Source organism: Homo sapiens, chromosome 12 (assembly GCF_000001405.40).
Source record: "Homo sapiens chromosome 12, GRCh38.p14 Primary Assembly".
NCBI classification, from domain to species: domain Eukaryota; kingdom Metazoa; phylum Chordata; class Mammalia; order Primates; family Hominidae; genus Homo; species Homo sapiens.
Genome location: NC_000012.12, coordinates 111,851,365 through 111,874,310, shown reverse-complemented (window position 1 = coordinate 111,874,310; position 22,946 = coordinate 111,851,365). Strand labels below are relative to the sequence as shown.

The following is a 22,946-nucleotide window of genomic DNA, read 5'->3' as shown; positions in this document are numbered from 1 at the left end:
AGATTCTCCTGCCTCAGCCTCCCAAGTAGCTGAGATTACAGGCACCGGCTACTACGCCCAGCAAATTTTTGTATTTTTAGTAAAGATGGGGTTTCACCATGGCAGCCAGGCTGGTCTCGAACTCCCGACCTCAGGTGATCCGCCTGCCTCAGCCTCCCAAAGTGCTGGTATAACAGGCGTGAACCACCACGCCCAGCTGAAATGTTTTACAATATCATTTCCAACAGCATCCAAAAACAAAATTTAAGGATAAATTTAAGAAAATATGTGCAAGACCTGTAACATTAAGAAGCATAAACATTTTTTAGGAAAATTAAAGACCTAAACAAATGGAGAGATATATACCTTGTTCATCGATTGGGAGACTTATATTGTTAAGATATCAGTTCTCTCCAAATTCACCTATAGATTAAATACCACCCCAGTCAAATCCCAGGAGGCTTTTCTGTTATACAGAAGTGAATTCTAAAATGTAGAGAAATGCAAAGGATCTAGAATAGCCAAAACAATTTTGAAAAAGAATGAATCTGAAGTCAAGATATAATATAAAGCTACAATAATGCAGATGCTCTTGCTATAGACACATACATATATTAAACAAACAGAATAGAATCCAGAAAAGACCAACAGATATATGGCCAGCTGGTTTTCAACAAAACTGCAATTCAGGCCAGGCGCAGTGGCTCATGCCTGTAATCCCAGCACTTTGGGAGGCCGAAGCAGGCGGATCACGAGGTCAAGAGATCAAGACCATCCTGGCCAACATGGTGAAACCCCGTCTCTACTAAAAATACAAAAAATTAGCCGGACATGGTGGCGGGCTCCTGTAATCCCAGCTACTTAGGAGGCTGAGGCAGGAGAATTCCTTGAACCCGGGAGGCAGAGGTTGCAGTGAGTCGAGATCGCGCCATTGCACCACTCCAGGCTGGGCAAAAAGAATGAAACTCCGTCTCAAAAACAAACAAACAAACAAACAAAAAACTGCAATTCAATGATGCAATCCTTTTACAAATCCTTTTACAAATGATGATTTGTAAAAAACATTTTACCAATGATGCTGCAACAACTTGACACCCTTAAGGGGGAAAAAAAGAACCTGGTCTCTCATTTCATACACACACAAACTCAGATGAATTACAGACCCAAATGTAAAAGCTAAAGCTATAACCTCTTATAAGAAAACATCAGAGAAAATATTTATGCTTGTGGATCTTAGGAACAAAAAGTACTAAGCATTAAAAAAAAAATGGTGAAACAGACTTCATTAAAATTCAAAACTTCTGCTATTCAAAGGCCATTAAGAAAATTAAAAGGCAAGTCACAGACTGAGATGAATATTCATGATATATATATGGAAGGCAGAATAATGGCCCCCCAAGATGTCCATGTTATAATCCCTGGGATTATTTTACCTTGTATTGCAGAACAATTAAGTTAAGAATCTTAAAATGGGGAGTTATCTAGGTAAGGCCAATGTGATCAGTAGGGTCCTTATAAGAGGCAGGCAAGAGGGTCAAAGTCATAGAGAGAGACACTCATTGGAAGATGCTATGCTACTGGCTCTGATGATGAAGGAAGAGGCTACAAGCCAAATAATGTAGGCAGCCTCTAGAAGCTGGAAAAGGCAAGAAATGCCTCCAGAAGGAACACAGCCCTGCTGACACCTTGATTATAGCACTGAGTACCATTTCAGACTTCTCATTTCCAGAAGTATAAGATAATACATTTCTGTTGTTTTTATCTACTAAGTTTGTGACAATATGTTACAGCAGCAGTAAGAATACAACATACATATGGCAAAGAACCTGTGTCCAGAATATTTTAAAATTCTTATACCTCAATTCTTTAACAAGAAACCAACAATAACAAAATGGCAAAAGATGAATGCCCATACTTACAACAGAATGGCCAATACACATGTACAAAAAGTGCTCCAAAATAGTGGCCATCAGGACAATGTCGTGATTAAAACTATAATGAAGTAATACTCTGCCCGCTACCAGAATGACTAAGATGACAAATGCTGACAAGCAACAAGCATGAGGCGTTAGTAAAAATGTGAAATGACTGGAACTCTATACGTTGCTGGTAGACGCATAAAATGGTATAGCCATTTTGGAAAAAAGATATGGGCATGGGGGAACATGTCCCCCAAAAACTGTAAAAGAAGTGTTCCTAGCAGCTTTCTTCATAATAGCCAAAAATGAGAAACAACCCAAAATCCTGTCAGTGAATGGAAAAAACAAATGCAGCTTAGGTATATAATGAAATACTACTTGGCAATGAAAAGGAATTAACGAGTGATAAATGCAGGAACATGGACAAATCTCAAAAACATGCTAAGCAAAAGAAATGAAGCATACAAAGTCCACGATTACATTTTTCTGAAATTCTTCAACAGGCAAAACTAACCAATAATGACAGAAAGCATGTCAGTGGTTGCCTAGGGCCAGGGGTTAAGTTGGGAGGGGACTGACTGCAAAGTGGCACAGGCAGCTTGTGAAGTGAGGGGCGTGTTCCACATCTTCAATGTGGTGGTCGCCATATGGGGTATATATTTGTCACAACTCATCAAACTCTCCTTGAAGTGGAGGTATTTTACTGTATGTAAATCATACTTCTAAATCATACCTCAATAAAGTTTATTTTATTTTATTTATTTTTTTTTGAGACGGAGTCTCGCTCTGTCGCCCAAGCTAGAGTGCAGTGGTGCCATCTCGGCTCCTTGCAACCTCCACTTCCCAGGTTCAAGCGATTCTCCTGCCTCAGCCTCCTGAGTAGCACGAATTACAGGTGTGCGCCACCACACTCGGCTAATTTTTTATATTTTTTTTAGTAGAGACAGGGTTTCACCGTGTTATCCAGGATGGTCTCCATCTCCTGAACTTGTAATCCACCCGCCTCAGCCTCCCAAAGTGCTGGGATTAAAGGCGTGAGCCACCGCACCTGGCTAAAGTTGATTTTAAAAGAATAAAAGATCTACACCAAATAAAGCAATCTGTAGGTTTCTAAAGCTAAGTTCTCCCCCTCCCATCTGTAATATATGCCTACTTGTGCTGTAGAATAGAAGGAACACGAGTTGATGGGCAGCTTGGTGACAGATCTTAGGACAGAAACCGCACATGCTTACCTGGGGTGCTACATAATAAGGGGTGAACTGGGGTGTCATCAAGTCACCTTGGTCAATCTTGGCAAATCCAAAGTCACACAACTTCACTGGGGCATCCTGAAATTAAAAAAAAAAGGAGTCACTGCTCCAGAGTGCTCAGTAAACATTAAAGGAAAATCCAGGTGTAAGACATGTTACCCTGAGATCTAACAAGTTTCTTTCCAGCTGAGATGCGAACTTATGAAAATAACATGTCCCCAGGTCTGGAGACAATGATTCACACTGAGGAACTGTCCTTAGTAATGCAGAAGTAAGGAATTCCTACCCACTCACACAGCTATTTTTGCTTTAGAACTTGTAAGGGCAGCACTAACGTCAAGGTCTTGGCCTAGGGACCCTTCACTCTATAAGCCCATCACCTCTCATCAATCTGGGATGCTACTTCACTTTTAATATCTGCCATAAGCTTCATGATAGACAGAGCAACTTATCTGGTGAGACATGGGGCAGGGGACAGAGCTGAAAGGGAAAACAGCAAATGAAACGAGATAATATATAACAGCATACAGATTCCTGCCCCTTCCCAAAGGTCCTCCAAATAATATCCAAAATCATTAAGTCCCACAAATACATATCAGTATCATCCAAAATTATCAATGCCGGGAGTACAGTAGTACAGCTTCTCTGAGCCTCTAGCAAGGGAACGAGTTGAAGAAATAAGCTGTTTGAAGCACTTTGGCTTAAAGCTTTTTCACCATGAATTCAGAGCGCTCCAAACACACCCACTCCTGAACTATGTTAAGAGTTGCAGCACTAAAATGCAGAAAAACAGTCTTCTCACCAAAGAGTTATCCTTAAAAAGCAGATTTTCAGGCTTGAGGTCTCTGTGCGCAATGTTTAACAAGTGACAGTGCCGCAGAGCCAAAGCTATCTGAAAAAAGACACAATGAAACAGTCGCTTCTTAGAAAAGACCACTCTTTAATACACCTGGCGTAGAGAACTCAGGATGTCAAAAAACAAGCCTTCATTAAGACTGCGTTCACTTTCAATTTTAAAGCAGAAATTAAGAAAAACTTGGAATACCAAGAAACAGAATGGATTAAGCTTAGTTTAACTGCAACTTGTATTTTGTCAGACAGAAAGAAAAATATGATGGTACAGCAATTCTTTGTCAGAATAAACTGATGGGTAAATCCTGTAAGAAATGGGAAAAATGAAATGCTCCCACTTTCATTCATCTGAGGTATGACAGACACTGCAGAAGAAACACCTAAGCTGAGCAATGGTCAGCAGGCGCAGTTCCCACAGCAGGGCTCAGACAAGAATGGCACTCTCCAGGGAGCTGAGGGTCAAGAAATCAGCTGACTGGGTTTTTCCAATTCATACTGGAAACTCATTTTGCTCATCATGCTTGTTGAAAATGTTGCCTGTTTATGTGGATTTGAAGGGGTTTTATTTTATAGAAGATTATCAGAGCTCATCCTTTAATCCTAATATTTGAAAAAATTAAAGGTATAATTTTAAAAATCAAACAGAAAGAACAGATTTTACTTGTTCTTTAACTCTCCATATGGCATTTTCTCAGCAATCCAAGTATCAGTTCCTCCCTACCAGAAAGGAGGCATCCAAAATTGCTTAAGGTTCATGGGAAACTTGGAAGAACTTTTTATTAAGAAGCAATTGGGCTGTGCTTCCTAATTCTCTTTGCTTTGCTTGCCTGGTATGAAGATAAGCCTTGAGGGTTTAGCTTTTCACCTCTGCAAGAAGTGATTATCAGCTGGATTCCTAGTATTGTTTGTGACATAAATCATTTCTACAGCAATAAAATGTGATGTCAACATAGAATATAACCAGGAATAATTCAGAATTACAAAGATCTTAGGATATTATTAAATCTGAAGAAATCACAGAAAGGTGGCTCACATGCAGGAAGCATCTTATGTACAATTCTCTTAAAATACATTTTTATACCATACAATCTTTCAGGTGGTATCAGCAGCATTTTATTGCAAAGTCCAATAACAGTACTTGGTAGCTACATGCCTAAAGATAACTGCAGTCTACAAAGCAGTTAAGATGCCTTCCTTCCAGAGTTTATTGAAATCTCACAGCAGCCTCAGGAAACAGTTGACAACCAATTAAGAACACAGTACCCCCACCCCCAAGTATAAAAGGGGTCACATTTCTCCTGTCAAAACATCTTTTCTGATTACATAACAAAGCAGGCAATGAGAAGTCAAATAGAGCTTTTCTTTAAGTTTTCTTTTCTTCCCCCCAATGAAATTGTGCTTGTTAACCAACTTTGGTGGCAGTTTGATTGGTACCTGGGGTTAACTTGCCTGCTTTGTTACTTGGCTGGCTTGCTTCTCTGTAAAGTGCCGGTGCTGGCTGATTCTGTGAAATAGCTCTCCCCCTTCCATCATCTCCATTACAATTAAGAGTCGGGCCCTGTTTGAAAGCATTTGATTTTGTTAAGTTAAAAAAAAAAAAAAGAAAAAGAAACAAAAAACCCTGAAACATTAAGAAGCTGACCTAAAGATACTGCATCTACAAAGTGTGTAACAACTTCCTAAGTCCAGGGTAACACAGTTACTAAGAGCAAAAATTCTCATGTTCTGAAAAAAAAAATTTTAATGTGATTTTTGGCTACCATTCTTTCATATATGCTTCCAGCTTCCATCCAAATGCTTTCACCAACAGAGCACAGTTGTGAAAAATAAGCGTTTTTTTCCCATTTGTTTGATTTCCCATTTGTTTTTAAAATTCTATCTTCTTTTTCCATCTGGAAAATTCCTACCCTTCCTTCAAGTCCTAGCTTCCACACAGCCTTTGTGAGACACCTCTCCTCCCAGACTATAGTTAGCAGCTCCTCTCCTTTGTAAGCTTAGAATATTTTAGGGATGCCTGTCCTTAGTGCCTATTGCACTGCTATGATGATGGGTTTACATCTCAGTCTTCCCCAAAAAAACCATACCTTATTTAATTTTGAATTTTAACAAAGAGACTTAGAATGCCACCCAATATGCTTGCCAAACATTTGGTAACTAAAAGAATAATGTTGATTTCTTTCTTTAAAAGGAAAGTTAGACTAAGCAATAATAAAGGCTTTTTGTTTTATCAGCCTCTAAGACTCTGCCTAGAATAATATTTGGGCCCCTTTCACTGATTTGAAATAGAATCTGTTTAAATTCTACATTAAATGCTTTCTTGAAATGAGAAAGTAATCAGAATCATCAGGGGATGTGAAGAGTGGTAGGGGCATAGATGAAATTAGACTGGCCACAAGAGGATTACTGTTGAGGATGGATCATGAGAACTTGAGGATTCATTACATAATTCTGTCTGCTTTTACAAATGCTTGACATTTTCCAAATTACAAAAAGGGAGATGGAGGGGGAGAAGGAAGGGCAGAGGAAGCGAGGGTAGGAGGAAGAAGGAGAGGGAAGGGGAGGGAGCACATAAAAGAGAGGACAGCTCCACTACACATTGGCCTACATGTGGGCATTTGATGATGACACTGTGTAGTCTTACCTAGGGCTGGACTCATGGGGAAACTGGACACTGTTAGCAAACACTTCAATAATCTGAACTATGTTTGGGTGTGTGGCACACATCATGTGCAGACGTACCTTAAAGAGAACAGAGGAAATGTATCAATAGGTAGGGGATACCAACATTTTCTCTCCAAAAACTGACCATACTAGGTACAAGCTAATTACAATAAAAACTTTATCACTTAGAATGATGTAAAAACCCAGTGTTTTCAAAGATTATCTCCTTAATGCTTTTTCCATGAATAAAAACTCACCAACAGATTTACTTCCTACTGTTCCATTTATTTGCAAATGAAAATCTGGCAAACAATTCATTTCATTTTAGAAATTATTTGCATTTCTTTATGCAAAAGAAGTCCTTCATTGCACATGTTATTAGAATGTCATTACCATATCCAGATAGTTTAAAACCAATGTATAACCAGGGGCAGTGGCTCACACCTGTAATCCCAACACTTTGGGAGGCCAAAGTGGATCACTTGAGCCCAGGAGTTTGAGACCAGCCTGGGCAACATGCAAAACCCCATGTCTACAAAAAATACAAACAAAATTAGCCAGGCATGGTGGCAAATGCCTGTGGTCCCAGCTACTCAGGAGGCTGAGGTAGAAGGATCACTTGAGCTTAAGGAGGTCAAGGCTGCAGTGAGCCATGATCGTGCCACTGCATTCCAGCCTGGGTGACAGAGCAAGACTCGGTTTCAAACAGAAACAAAAACAAACCCAATGTATATTTTTAAAAACTAAAGGCCGGGCACAGTGGCTCACGCCTGTAATCCCAGCACTTTGAGAGGCCGAGGCGGATGGATCACCTGAGGTCAGGAGTTCAAGGCCAACCTGATCAACATGGAGAAACCCTGTCTCTACTAAAAATACAAGATGCGTGGTGGCGCATGCCTGTAATCCCAGCTATTCGGGAGGCTGAGGCAGGAGAATCACTTGAACCCGGGAGGCGGAGGTTGCCGTAAGCCGAGATTGCGCCATCGCACTCCAGCCTGGGCAACAAGAGTGAAACTCTGTCTCAAAAAGAAGAAACAAACTAGAAACATCCTCAGAGTCCTCCTGTAGCATCACTTTTATACACCATTCACCTGACTCTTCCTTGTGCTATTTTATCTCCACCTTTAAGTACCTTCTTCAATAAGCAAAACTGAGGTAAATCTGAATACATGAGGGTACAAGAATCACATTAATTTTAAAAGAACAAGAGGTGGCTGAAAGGAAATGACTCAATGGCCTTTGATATTGACAGATCTAGGACTACTTTACTAAGATAGCATGAATGGGGAAGAGAGGTAAAGTTTGGACATAAAACTTTTTATGCATCACTGTATTCTCTCTAGGAAGCTGCCTTACTTGCAAAAGAACAATTCTTAGGCACTTCAACTATTTAATTAAGTCGAGGCAATAAAGCATACCTCATTTCTAGCTTTTGGACGATCAAGAAGAATTTTCAGCGCAAACCGTTCTTGAGTAGATTTCTTTACACAGACTCTAGATTTGGAGAAAAAAAATCAATCAGAGATCATATATGTTAGAATGAAAATTAATTTAACAAGCTTTTTCTTTGAGATTTGTACTTCTCATCAAGGATATGGCCAGGTGCATCCAGAACAAACTTGCCCCCAAGGGTAGCAGGTGGGGGAAAGAAGCATCTCACCCCTCTGCCCAGCAGCCAATGCTCAGGCCTCAGCTTCTAAGCCATGCTTTTGGGGCTGTGGGTCAATGAAAAAATAATGGCCTCAGCTGGCTATAGGTGACTCTCACAGTGGCCCCACAGTCTCGACACCCTTTTTTTTTTTTTTTTTTTTTTTTGAGACAGAATCTCGCTCTGTGGCCAGGCTGGAGTGCAGTGGCATGATCTCAGCTCACTGCAATCTCTGCCTCCCTGGTTCAAGTGATTCTCCTGCCTCAGCCTCCCGAGTAGCTGGGATTACAGGCACCCACCACCACACCTGGCTAATTTTTGTATCTTTAGGAGAGACGGGGTTTCACCATGTTGGCCAGGATGGTCTCCATCTCCTGACCTCATGATCCGCCTGCCTCAGCCTCCCAAAGTTCTGGGATAACAGGCATGAGCCACCGCGCCTGGCCAGTCTCGACATCTTAAATGACTCTATAAAAAGACCATGCGACTCAGTCACTCTTAACTAATTCCTAAATACATGAGAAAAAGCCTAACATAAAAACCTGTACTTGTTAAATTCAGCCTATTCCTCAAATCTGGCACACCTGATGTGTCTAATTCAAGATGTATTTCAAATGGCCCTTCTCAGAGTTTGCACATGCCAACAATTTGCCATAGTTTCTCATATGGATCTCTTACCTAACTGGACCACTAATTCCAGCTCCCAGCTTCTGAGTCCAATTGATACTGTATTCTTCTAAAATGGAAGTTTCCTATTAATATAAAAAAAGGGAGAGGACAGAGAATGATTCCTCAGTTAACAAACTGAATAAGCAGAGATGGGACAACAGAAGACCTGTCACTCAACAGCTCATCTTCTAAGAGAATCTGATAAGCAGAACTTTGTGTTCTACAGGGCTTTATGACATTTTGTCTAAATGACAATGACTCAGACATTGTTTCCCAATTTTCCAACAAGAAAGCAAAGACTTCACGATAAAAGGAAATTATTCAGCTCATCTATAAGGTACATTTCCATAGACAATCAATGCTTTTGGGGGGTTCTGAGAGGAAGATACTCTTTCAAAATGCATCAATTACTAAATGCCTCTTTGCTACAATGGTCAAGTATATTTTATGAGATTCTAGAAAGACTAGTCAGATATATGCTGCCAAGCTGTAGAGGCCTATATCCCTGAACAAGTTGATTACATTATTGGAATAACTGAATAAACTGAGACTTAAAAGTTCAAAAAAAATAGTAACTAATCAATATCATAGTAAACATCTAATTTCCAACACCACCATTTTGTGTACAGATATATTCTGTCAATTTCATTATGTAAGTATATTTCTGATATAAATAACTTTCAACAGTTTAGGATAGAGCCTCTACAGTTTAATGAAAGTTGTAATGGAATTCTTGGCTAACTATTGCATGTTAGCCTCTGTTGCCATATGCTTTTAGATAAAAAAGAATTTAATTAATTAATTCATTCACTCACTTATTTATTATAAGAGACAGGGTCTCGGCCGGGCTCACACCTGTAATCCCAGCACTTTAGGAGGCCAAGGCAGGCAGATCATGAGGTCAAGGTATCAAGACCATCCTGGCCAACATGGTGAAACCCCGTGTCTACTAAAAACTACGAAAATTAGCTGGGCGTGGTGGCGCGTGCCTATAGTCCCAGCTACTCGGGAGGCTGAGGCAGGAGAATTGCTTGAACCCAGGAGGTGGAGACTGCAGTGAGCCGAGAAGACCGAGGGTCACCCAGGCTGGAGTGCAGTGGTGTGATCATTTCTCACTGCAGCCTTGAACTCTTGGGCTCAAATGATCCTACCACCTCAGCCTCCCAAGTAACTAGGAAAACAGGCACACACCACAGCATCTGGCTAATTTTTTTCTTTTTTCTTTTTTTAGAGACAGGGTCTTGCTATGTTGCCCAGGTTGGTTTCAAACTCCTGACTTCAAGCAATCCTCCTGCCTCAGCCTCCCAAATAGCTGGGGTTACAGGCAAGAAAGTCACATATTTAAATTGTGATAGTCTAAAATTCATTTTTGCAGGCTTCCACAGGTAAAATAGGAAACCAACTGCAGACCTTAAGAAATCAAAATCCTGCCGGGCACAGTGGCTCATGCCTGTAATCCCAGCACTTTGGGAGGCCGAGGTGGGAGGATCACCTGAGGTGGGAGTTCAAGACCAGCCTGACCAACATGGAGAATCCCCATCTCTACTAAAAATACAAAATTAGCCAGGCATGGTGGCGCATGCCTGTAATCCCAGCTACTCAGGAAGCTGAGGCAGAAGAGTGGCTTGAACCCAGGAGGCAGAAGTTGCTGTGGGCCAAGATCACGCCATTGCACTCCAGCATGGGCGACAAGAGCAAAACTCCATCTCAAAAAAAAAAAAAAAAATCAAAATCCATAAGACTTTCACGTTGTTTTGTTGCAATGAAAATCTGATAGACTATGTAGCACAAGAATCCCGCTCGCTAGTATACAGGAATAGGATATTTGCTTACGTAATACACACTCACTGAGCAGCTAGTATACCAGGCTAAGTTCAGGTATGAAAACAAGGCCTCTATCCAGTGAATGTGCCAGGCTTGGAAAGTCTTCATCTCCACCCCTTTCTGTGTCCAATTCTTGGTAAAGGTTCTCAGCATACAGTAAATAACTATGGAATGAATGACTAGAAAGGAATTAATCCCTAGAAAGGCAGACTAAAGCCTTGTGATGAAGGGATATTGAGTTAGGAGGACCCAAAAGATCGCTATACAAACTCCCTTCTGAAAAACTGTGCGTCAGGATTATGGAGCTTGTCAAGGTCACACAGTGAGTTATGGGCACTATCTAGGCTATAATCTATGGCTCTGGCGTCCTCTACCATCCCCTACCCTAAGCACCTTTCCATCTATTAAGGGTAACTGCCCAGGCCCCAGCATAAAGATTAGGAACAAGTACTGCCCAATCAGAGAGGTCCTAGGCTCCATCTTCACTCACCACCTCCTCAACAGAACTCAAACCTACCCACTTAACCTGCCTACTTCCTTCACTTATCTGCTACATGACCTGTTTGACTTAGGAGTATCTGACGAGACCCAGGGGAATAGAGTAGTGGGAAGGAGGGAGTTGAAGCAGAATTTAAGCATCGTGGTAAAAACTGTTCCACTCAACTAATGGAATCATACACTCACAGTAGACTCTATGGAAAATAAGATTTGTTCTACTGAACTATTCATTATAATCAGAGTTCATATGCCCAACCCCTCGGATGTAAAAATAAGTTGTCTGACCAAATTCTCCATTGTACTTATTTTTTTATTTTTTGAGACAGAGTATTGCTCTGTCGCCCAGGCTGGAGCACAATGGCGTGATCTGGCCTCACTGCCTCCCGAGTTCAAGCGATTCTCCTGCCTCAGCCTACCAAGTAGCTGGGATTACAGTTGCGCACCACCACACCCAACTAATTTTTGTATTTTTAGTAGAGATGGGGTTTCACTGTGTTGGCCAGGCTGGTCTTGAACTCCTGACCTCAGGTGATCCGCCCACCTTGGCCTCCCAAAGTGCTGGGATTACAAGCATGAGCCACTGCACCCGGCCCTCCACTGTACTTACTAAGTTAGTACTCTACCTGATGGACAGCCAAGAAAGTTCAACTTGTAGAGACTCTGATTGGAGTTTTGACACTGAACTTTGCAGAAGGTAGGAGAACCACTACCAGGCTCTCCTACAGCTGAATTTCTGGACCCCATTTTTTATACCTCCTGTCCTTTTTCCCAGGCTTAATTCTTCCATCTTTGTTGATGGTGCCATAAACACTAGCCAGCTAAGGCTTCACTGAGCCCAACTGGGCCAAAAAAGTTAACACACACCTTTCAACTAGATTGCCCACGGCTGGCACATTTTCTCACATATTTTAATGACAAAGGAGAAGGTAGGAAGGCATGGTCAATTAAAACACTTCTACTGAAGGAAATTATGGACTAATTCTTCAAAGACATCAATGACAAATGCAAAGGCTGGGTTGTGCTAAGAAATATACACACTACCTTAAATTAACAAGGATACAAACACTTGGAATAAAATCATTTTTGAGAATTCTCCAAGACAAGGGGTCAGCAAATTCAGCCATTGCCTGTTTTTGCAAATAAAGTGTATTGGAATATAGCCATATCTACTCGCTTTCATACTGTCTTTGGCTGCTTTCACACTACAACAACAGAGTTGAGGGGTTGGAACAGAGACCACAGGGACCGCAAAACCTAAAATATTTCCTATATCACCCTTTACAGAGAAAGCTTGCTTTTCTAAACACTGTTCTAAACTGCTGGATCTCAACAATAACTGCACATCACAATCGCCTGAGAAGATTTTTTTAAAGCTACCTGATGCAGGCCGGGCATGGTGGCTCATGCCCATAATCCCAGCACTTTGGGAGGCTGAAGCAGGCAGATCATGAGGTCAGGAGTTCGAGACCAGCCTGACCAACATGGTGAAACCCCATCTCTACTAAAAATAAAAAAATTAGCCGGGTGTGGTGGCGGCGCCTGTAATCCCAGCTACTTGGGAGGTTGAGGCAGGAGAATCGCTTGAGCCTGGGAGGCGGAGGTTGCAGTGAGCCGAGATCACGCCACTGCACTCCAGCCTGTGACAGAGTGAGACTCCATCTCAAAAAACAAACAAAACAACAACAACAAAAAAAACAAAAAAACTACCTGACACAAAGGGGATTCTAATACTACTTGTTTGAGAAGTGGCCTGGGCATTAGTCCTCTATTCTTACCTTTATCTCTAGTAAGGCAGACCCTAGTCATTCTCTGAAGCTCAAAAACTAAGAAAAAATGGAAATTATTTTTTTTTTTAGACGGAGTCTCGCTCTTGTTGCCCAGGCTGGTGTGCAGTGGCGCGATCTCGGCTCACGCCAACCTCCACCTCCTGGGTTCAAGCTTTTCCTGCCTCAGCCTCCTGAGTAGCTGGTATTACAGGTGCCCACCACTGCACCCAGCTAATTTTTGTACTTTTAGTGGAGACAGGGTTTCACCGTGTTGGCCAGGCTGGTCTCGAACTCCTGACCTCAAGTGATCTGCCTGCCTCGGCCTCACTTGCCTACCACTTCATGCTGTGAATACAAGAATTTCCATGCCTGTGCTGGGATTACAGGCATAGAAATTCTTGTATTCACAGCATGAAGTGGTAGGCAATTCCTCGCCACAATGGAAAAGTTAAAAATTAAAATTGTCAGAAAGAACTATTTCAATACAGTGTAAATCAAACAAACTGAGAAGTACAGATTCTTGAAAATCTGCTAGAGGTTCAGGTAAAAATAGTAAGCTTTCTAGCCTAGGATCCTGCCATCCTTCTACTCCTCTATCCCCACTGCTTACAGCATAGTCAGCTGGTGACAATGCTAGTTTTCCCAACATGGGGCCAGCTATGAAAATCAGCAGTTCTGCTGCTCTAGGGGGTGGACTCAATTTGGGGTGAGGAAGAAAATTCATGGATCTACCAGCTAAAAGTGGTGAATGTGGATGGAAATGAACAGCTTTGGCAGTTGTCTTTGTTAGATGGGCAGAACATCCAGAGATTTAATGGGAAAATCCTGAAACAGAGCCATAGAAAGTCTGAGTTAAGCTCTTCACATGACCATCACTGACTGGGAAATTATACCTAAGAGAACCAGGAAAAACTGAAAACCAAAGGAGACTTTAGAGCCAGCAGCAATTTTTTAGAGTTTCTCCAAACCCACATACACATTGATCAGGGGGGTATAGCTCAGCAGTAGAGCATTTGACTGTAAGTTGATCAGGATAGGGTAAAAGCCTCAGGGGCTGAAAGTATTTGAGAACCTCTGCCCAAATCACTGGCTGACAACTAAGTTAAACAGATACAGGGACAACCCACCAAAAGCCAGGCTGGGAAGAAAAAATGAAAATATTTTATTTTCTTTTGAGACGGAGTTTCACTCTTGTTGCCCAGGCTGGAGTGCGATGGCGCAATCTCGGCTCACTACAACTTCCACCTCCCAGGTTTAAGCAATTCTCCTGCCTCAGCCTCCCAAGTAGCTGGGATTCGCTGGGCACGGTGGCTCACGCCTGTAATCCCAGCACTTTGGGAGGCTGAGGCGGGTGGATCACCTGAGGTCAGGAGTTCGAGACCAGCCTGACCAACATGATGAAACCCCGTCTCTACTAAAATTACAAAATTAGCCGGGCATGGTGGTGGGCACCTGTAATCTCAGCTACTCAGGAGGCTAACCCAGGAGAATCGCTTGAACCAGGGAGGCAGAGGCTGCAGTGAGCTGAGATCATGCCATTGCACTCTAGCCTGGGCAACAAGAGCGAAACTCAGTCTCAAAAAAAAAAAAAAGAAAAGCAAAGAAAAGAAAAGAAAAAAAGAAGTGCTGGGATAACAGGCGTAGGACACTGAGCCCAGCTGAAAATAAAAATTTTAAAATTGACCGGGCACAGTGGCTCACGCCTATAATCCCAGCACTTGGGAGGCCAAGGCAGGAGGATCACGAGGTCAAGAGTTTGAGACCAGCTTGAAACCCCATCTCTACTGAGAATACAAAAATTAGCTGGGCGTGGTGGCGGGTGCCTGTAATCCCAGCTACTCGGGAGGCTGAGGCAGGAGAATCGCTTGAACCTGGGAAGCGGAGGTTGCAATGAGCTGAGATCATGCCACTGCACTCCAGCCTGGTGACAGAGTGAGACTCCGTCTCGAAAAAACTAATAATAATTTAAAACTAAGCAGAGACATTAGCACACCAAAGGAAAAATAGATTCTGGTTTAATTCTAAGCAATTAACTGTAAATATAACAAGCCACAGGGGGGAAAACTCAGAATCCAGAGTTGCTATATTATCTAAATGTCCAGTTTTCAACCAAAATTACTAGACTTGTAAAAACCAGGAAAGTGTCACCTAAGCTCAGGAAAAAGAGAAATCAATAGCATCCATCTCTGATTGGATGCAGATACTAGATTGAGCAAGTAGTTGCACTTAAAAGCAACTATTTTAAACGTCCAAAGAATTAAAGAAAACTGATGACGAAGTAAAAAATAATGATAAATAGAGATTTTCAGCCGAGAAACAGAAAAAATGAAGAGGAACCACATGGAAATTCTAGAGTTAAAAATTATAATGACTGGCATGAAAAACTGATCAGAGGTGCTCAACAGGCTGAGCACGGTGGCTCACGCCTGTAATCCCAGCACTTTAGGAGGCCAAGGCGGGCGGATCATGAGGTCAGGAGCTCGAGACCAGCCCGGCCAACACAGTGAAACCCCGTCTCTACTAAAAATACAAAAATTAGCCAGGCACAGTGGCAGGTGCTGTAATCCCAGCTACTCAGGAGGCTGGGGCAGGAGAATTGCTTGAACCCAGGAGGCGGAGGTTGCAGTGAGCTGCGATCGCACCACTGCACTCCAGCCTGGGTGACAGAGCAAGACTCCGTTTTGGAAAAAAAAAAAAAAAAAAAGAGGTGCTCAACAGATTTTCAGGTGACAGAATAATTAGTGAACATGAAAATACATAGAAAGAAATGATCAAATCCAAAGAATAGACAGAAAAAAGATTAAAGAAAAATGAGACCTGTAGAATAATGTCAAGCGTTCCAACATATGTGTAATGGGAGAGCCAAAGAGGGGTGAAGATGGGGGAGGTGGGAATATTTGAAGAAATAATAGGCAAAACCTTCCCCAACTTGATGAACAGTAATAACCTATGGCCTCCAAGAAGCTCAACAAACTCTAAATAAGATAAACACAAAAAGAACCACACCTAGACATACCACAGTCAAAACACTGAAAGACAAGACCAGGTGCAGTTGCTCACGCCTGTAATCCCAGCACTTTGGGAGGCTGCAGGGTGAGGATCACTTGAAGTCAGGAGTTCAAGACCAGCCTGGGCAACATGGCAAAACTCCGTCTCTACAAAAAATACAAAATTTAGCCTGGTGTAGTGGTGCATGCCTGTGCCTGTGGTCCCAGCTACTGGGTAGGCTGAGGTAGGAGGGTTGCTTGAGCCCAGGAGATTGAGGTTGCAGTAAGCTGAGATCATGCCACTGCACTCCAGCCTAGGCAACAGAGCAAGACCCTGTCTCACACACACACACAAACACACACACACAAAAAAAAACACTGAAAGAGAAAGAGAAAATAATGTAAGTACGAAGGGAAAAAATGACAAATCATGGACAGCAATATAAATAATGGCTGACTTTTCATCAGAAACAATGCAAGCCAGAAGACAGTAGAATCACATAATGAAAGTACTGAAAAAACAACTGTCAAGCATAAATTCTATATTGAACAAAACTATCCCTCAAAAATTAACAGTGAAATAAAGGCATTATCAAATAAATAAACACTGAAAGAATTCACTGCTAGTAGACTTGGCCTACAAGAACTACCAAAGGAAGTCCTTTGGAGAGAATGGCAATGCTACTGTATGAGAACTTGGATCAGGCCGGGCACGGTGGCTCACGTCTGTAATCCTAGCACTTTGGTAGGCCAAGATGGGAGGGATCACCTGAGGTCAGGAGTTCAAGACCAGCCTGGCCAACATGGCGAAACCTCGTCTCTACTAAAAATACAAAATAAAACCCCAAAATAGCCAGGCATGGTGGCACACACCTGTATTCCCAGCTACTACGGAGGGTGAGGAAGGAGAATTGCTTGAACCCGGGAGGTGGAGGTTGCAGTGAGCCGAGATCATACCACTGCACTCTAGCCTAAGCAACGGGAGCGAGGCTCCATCTCAAAAAAAAAAAAAAGAAAAAAGAAAACTTGGATCCACAAGAAGGAACAGAAAGTACTAGAACAGGTAAACATGGAAAAAATTATTTTCTTCTCTTAATTTCATAAATATACATAAGATAGGTTATAACATATAAAGATATACATGACAATAAGAACACAAGGGAGAAAGGAGGAAATAGAGCTACCTTGGAGCAAAGGTGCTGTATATTACCAGACTTTAGTCAATTTTAACCCAAAGTGGACTGTGATAAATTAAAGATGCATATTATAATCCTCATAAAAGCATTTCAAAAATACATATCCAGAAAATCAACAGAGAATTTACATCAGATAGTAACTTGGATCAAGAGGGAAAAAATGAAGAATAACAAAAATGGTAAATATACTGTAGGTTAACATAAAAGGCTGTAAATATATTTTATTCCTTTCTCTCTTATTTAAAACACATAAGATTTAACTGCATAAACAAATAACTACAACACTGTATTTTCTGGTTTGTAATATATACATATATAATACATAGACAACAGTAACACAAAAGAAGAGGGAGAAGGCTGAGCACAGTGGCTCACACCTGTAACCCTGGCATTTTGGGAGGCCAAGGCAGGTGGATCACCTGAGGTCAGGAGTTTGAGACCAGCCTGGCCAAAATGGTGAAACCCCATCTCTACTAAAAATACAAAAATTAGACAGGCATGGTGGTGCACACTTGTAATTCCAGCTACTCAGGACGCTGGGATGGGAGAATCACTTGAACCCAGGAGGTGGAGGTTGCAGTGAGCCGAGATCATGCTACTGCACACCAGCCTGGGTAGACAGAGTGAGACTCCGTCTCAAAAAAAAAAAAAAGAAAGAAAAAAAAAGAAGAGGGAGACAATGGAGCTAAACTGGAGCATTTTCTATATTTTACTGAAACTATTAGTATTAATTTAAAGTTAGTCTTAATCTGAAATGGCTTATGATAGGCCATATTCTAGATCATAAAAAAAACTAAATGAATTGAAAATAAATTATATGAAGTTCTCCAACCACCATGGAATTAAGCCAGAAATGAACAGAAGGGAAAGTTGGGAAATCCATACATATTCAGAAATTAAACAACACGACTGGACACAGTGGCTCACGCCTGTAATCCCAGCACTTTGGGAGGCCAAGGTGGGCAGATCGCCTGAGGTCAGGAGTTCGAGACCAGCCTGATCAACATGGAGAAACCCAGTCTCTACTAAAAGTACAAAATTAGCCAGGCATGGTGGTGTATGCCTGTAATCCCAGCTACTCGGGAGGCTGAGGCAGGATAATCGCTTGAACCTGGGAGGCAGAGGTTGCGGTGAACCAAGATCACGCCATTGCACTCCAGCCTGGGCAACAAGAGCGAAACTCCATCTCAAGAAAAAAAAAAAAAAAAGAAATTAAACAACGCATTTTTTTTTCTTGAGATGGAGTCTCACTTTGTCACCAGGCTGGAGTACAGTGGCGCAATCTTGGCTCACTGCAATCTCTGCCTCCCAGGTTCAAGCGATTCTTCTGCCTCAGCTTCCCAAGTAGCTGGGACTACAGGTGCACACCACCATGCCCAGCTAATTTTTGTAATTTTAGTAGAGATGGGGGTTCACCATATTGGCCAGGCTGGTCTCGAACTCCTGACCTCGTGATCCGCCTGCCTTGGCCTCCCAAAGTGCGAGGATTACAGGCGTGAGCCACTGCACCTGGCCTAAACAACACACTTATAAATAACCAGGAGGTCAAAGAAGATTTAACATGAGATATTAGAAAATATTTTATCTCAATGAAAATGCAAACACAATTTGCCAAAAATAATGAGATGAAGTTGAAGTGGTGCTGAAACAGAAATTTATAGCTGTAAATGCCTACCTTAGAAAAGATCACAATCACTAACCTAACCTTCTACCTTTAAAATGTAGAAAAAGAGCAGACTATACTCAAAGCAAGCAGAAAGAAGAAAATAATAAAGATTTGAGCAGAGAGCTATAAAACAGAATACAGAAAAATAGAGAAAATCAATGAAAACCAAAAGTTGATTATTTGAAAAGATCAACAAAGTTAACAAACCTTTAGCTGAATTGACCAATACAAAAAGGGCAGGACACAAATTATTAATATTAGAAAGGAAAGAGGGAACATCACAATTGACTTTACAGAAATCAAAGTATTAAAAGGGAAAACCATGAACGACTTTATGCCAACAAATTAAAGCACTAGATAAAATGGACAAATTTCTAGAAAGAAATTACCAAAACTCACTCAAGAAGAAAAAGAAAACCTGAATAGACCTGTAACAAGTAAAAAAAACTGAATTAATAACTGAGTATCTTCCCATGAAACAAAGTCTAGGCACATTGGTTTCAGTGGTAAATACTACACATTTGTTGGGTTTCTCAACCTCAGCACCACTGACATTTTGAGCCAGATAGTTCTCTGTTGTGGGGTTGCCTTGGCCTTTTAGGATGTTCAGCAGCATTCCTGCCGTCTACCCACTAGGTGCCAGAAGCACCCGCTACCAACTGTGATAACCAAAAATGTCTCCAGATGTTACCAAATGTCTCCCAAGAGGTAAAATCCCTGCCCATTCCACTGAGAACCACATATTTAACGAAATAATGTATTCCAAACTTTGGCCTCCCAAAGTACTGGGATTACAGATGTGAGCCACCACACCTGGCTGTAAAATACCCTTTTATTTCATATTGAAAATCATTACTGGCCGAGCACGGTGGCTCATGCCTGTAATCCCAGCACTTTGGGAGGCCGAGGCAGGTGGATCACGAGGTCAAGAGATCAAGACCATCTGGCCAACATGGTGAAACCCCATCTCCACTAAAAATACAAAAATTAGCTGGGCGTGGTGGCGCACGCCTCAAGTCCCAGCTACTTGGGAGGCTGAGACAAAATAATCAGTTGAACCAGGGAGGCGGAGGTTGCAGTGAGCTGAGATCATGCCACTGCACTCCACTCCAGCCTGGCAACAGAATGAGACTCCATCTCAAAAAAAAAAAAGAAAAAGAAAAAGAAAAAGAAAAGAAAATCTTTACTATGTTCATAGTAATGATCCCATAGAGGAGGGTATACTTTCTAACTTGTTCTATAAAGCTAGCATTACATTCATACCAAAACTCGAAAAAGGCATCACAAGAAAGTATCTATCATGAATATAGATTAAACAATCCTCAACAAAATATTAACAAACTGAAACTAGCAACATGTAAGAATGATTCTACACCAGACTAAGTGGGTCTGAGTGGGGTTTATACCAGGAATGCAAGATTGGCTTAATATCTGAAAATAACGTAATATTACCATATACTATATTAAGAATAAAGAACAAAAACCACATAATTAACTCAATAGATGAAGGGAAAATATTTAACAAAAACTCAACACCCATTCCTGATAAAACTGTCAGCCAGGCCGGGCGTAGTGGCTTAAGCCTGTAATCCCAGCACTTTGGGAGGCCAAGGCGGGTGGATCACCTGAGGTCAGGAGTTCGAGACCAGCCTGACCAACAAGATGAAACCCCATCTCTACTAAACAGATAAAAATTAGCCAGGTGTGGTGGCAGGCACCTGTCATCCCAGCTACTCAGGAGGCTGAGATAGGAGAATTGCCTGAACCCGGGAGGCGGAGGTTGCAGTAAGCTAAGATCACACCACTGCACTCCAGCCTGGGCAACAGAGAGAGACTCCATCTCAAAACAAAAAAATTTTGTTTTATATGTAGAAAATCCTAAGGGATCTATAAGAACTAGTATGCAAATGTACTAAGGATACAAAATACAAAATCAACATACAGAAATCAACTGTATTTCCATACACTAGTGACAAACAATCCAAAAATGAAATGAAGAAAACAATTCCATTCTTTTTTTTTTTGAGACGAAGTTTCGCTCTGTCACCCAGGCTGGAGTGCAGTGGCGCCATCTTGGCTCACCATAAGCTCCACCTCCCAGGTTCGCGCCATTCTTCTGCCTCAGCCTCCCAAGCAGCAGGGACTACAGGCGCTTGCCACCACGCCTGGCTAGTTTTTTGTATTTTTTTTTTTTAGTAGAGAGGGGGTTTCACTGTGTTAGCCAGGATGGACTCGATCCCCTGACCTCGTGATCCGCCCACCTCAGCCTCCCAAAGTGCTGGGATTACAGGCGTGAAGAAGAAAACAGGAATACATTTATCAGGCTGGACACAGTGGCTCATGCCTGTAATCCCAACACTTTGGGAGGCCAAGGCAGGTGGATTGCCTGAGGCCAGGAGTTCAAGATCAGCCTGGCCAACATGGTGAAACCCTGTCTCTATTGAAAATACAAAAATTAGCCAGGCATGGTGAAGCAAGCCTGTAATCCCAGCTACTCAGGAGGCTGAGGCAGGAGAATTGCTTGAACCTGGGAGGCAGAGGTTGCCGTCAGCCGAGATTGCACTACTGCACTTAAGCCTGCGAGACAGAGTGAGACTCTGTCTCAAAAAAAAAGAATAAATTTATCAAAAGGCAAGATTTATAGATTTATACACTGGAAACTAGAAAACACTGCTTAGAGAAACTGAAGAAGCCCTAAAGAAATGGAAAGCTCTACTACGTTAATAGATAAGATAATATACTTGACCCTTGAACAACGTGAAGGTTAAGGGCACTGACACCCTGGGCAGTCAAAAATCTGCACATAACTTCTGACTCCCCCAAAATTTAACTACTAATAGCCTGTTAACCATACTGACAACAGAAAGTCAATTAACACATATTTTATGTATTACATACTATATTGTTACAATAGAGTAAGATAGAGAAAAAATGTTATTAAGAAAATCATAAGAGAAAACATATTTGCTATTCATTAAGTGGAGGTGCATCATCATAAAGGTCTTCACCCATCTTCAGGATGAGTAGACTGAGGGAAAGAAAGAAAAGGAGTTGGTTGGTCTTGCTGTCTTGGGGCAGCAGAGGTAGAAGAGGTGAAGGGCATGGAAAGGAAGGCAGGAGAGGCAGGCACATCTGGTGTAACATTACAAAAATACATCCTCATTTCTGTCTGACTTTTTTGCTTTTCCATTTCTCTAAAAACATTTCTATACAATACTAATCCTTCTTCCACCATTTGCTTTCACTTCAGTGCCAGTATCACAGAAGGTTCCATTCCATATTCCATAAACAAAGCTAAAGGAAGTCTTGAATAATTGGAACCCTTCTGGCAAATTGTCTAATGTCAATTTTTTCCTGCCCCTGTTTCTTGTACATCTTATTCCTTACTGTCTGGCACAGAAGCACTCATCTCCATCAAGTCATCTTCTATTAATTCCTCAGGTGTGGTGTCTATTAGCTCTTGAATTTCTCCAAGATCTGTACCTTAAAACTCTTCACCCTTCACCTTTTTTGCCATATCCACAATCTCTTTCATGATTTCCTTAACCAGCTCTGTCATAAATCCTATGAAGTCACGCACATCTGGACAGAGTTTTCTCCACCAGGAATTTATTGTTTCAGGCCTGATGGCTTCCACAGCTTTTTCCATAACAATGGCATCTTCAGTGGTGTAATCCCTCTAGACTTTCACTACATTCTATCAGGATTCTCTTCCTTGGTGTTAACAATCTTTTCCAGAGTATCCCATGTAATGAGTCTTGAAAGTCCTGGACCAGGTGCGGCAGCTGAAGCCTGTAATCCCAGCACTTTGGGAGGCTGAGGCAGGCAGATCACTTGAGGCCAGGAGTTCGAGACCAACCTGGGCAAAATGGTGAAACCTCATCTCTCCTAAAAATACAAAAATTAGCCAGGCATTGTGGAGCATGCCTGTAATTCCAGCTTCTCGAGAGGCTGAGGCATGAGAATTGCTTGAACCTGGGAGGCAGAGGTTGAAGTGAGCTGAGATCACCCCACTGCACTCCAACCTGGAC

The 22,946-nt window shown here is 41.8% G+C and overlaps 1 protein-coding gene across 11 annotated transcripts in view, besides 1 other annotated feature; it reads right to left on the bottom strand.

Annotated features, from left to right (window-relative positions):
- The window catches only part of MAPKAPK5 (MAPK activated protein kinase 5), a 59,995-nt gene that overhangs the window by 27,912 nt on the left and 9,137 nt on the right, over window positions 1-22,946 (bottom strand). For 5 of the 11 annotated variants that reach the window (NM_139078.3, NM_001371479.1, NM_003668.4 and 2 more), the window contains exons 2-7: window positions 8,988-9,061; window positions 8,080-8,155; window positions 6,642-6,739; window positions 5,450-5,558; window positions 3,951-4,040; window positions 3,131-3,226 (exon numbers count right to left, since the gene is read on the bottom strand). In NM_139078.3, coding sequence (NP_620777.1) covers window positions 3,131-3,226; window positions 3,951-4,040; window positions 5,450-5,558; window positions 6,642-6,739; window positions 8,080-8,155; window positions 8,988-9,061 — 543 coding nt within the window. The remainder of the gene's footprint in view (window positions 1-3,130; window positions 3,227-3,950; window positions 4,041-5,449; window positions 5,559-6,641; window positions 6,740-8,079; window positions 8,156-8,987; window positions 9,062-22,946) is intronic. The other 6 variants (NM_001371482.1, NM_001371483.1, NM_001371485.1 and 3 more) reach the window with 4 other exon arrangements.
- Window positions 19,866-20,023: a silencer, noted in NCBI's record as "fragment chr12:112292092-112292249 (GRCh37/hg19 assembly coordinates)". NCBI's record gives its function as "represses an EF-1alpha promoter that drives an FKBP-Casp9 reporter gene in an ReSE screen in HepG2 liver carcinoma cells {active_cell/tissue: HepG2}" and the evidence as "EXISTENCE:reporter gene assay evidence [ECO:0000049][PMID:32094911]".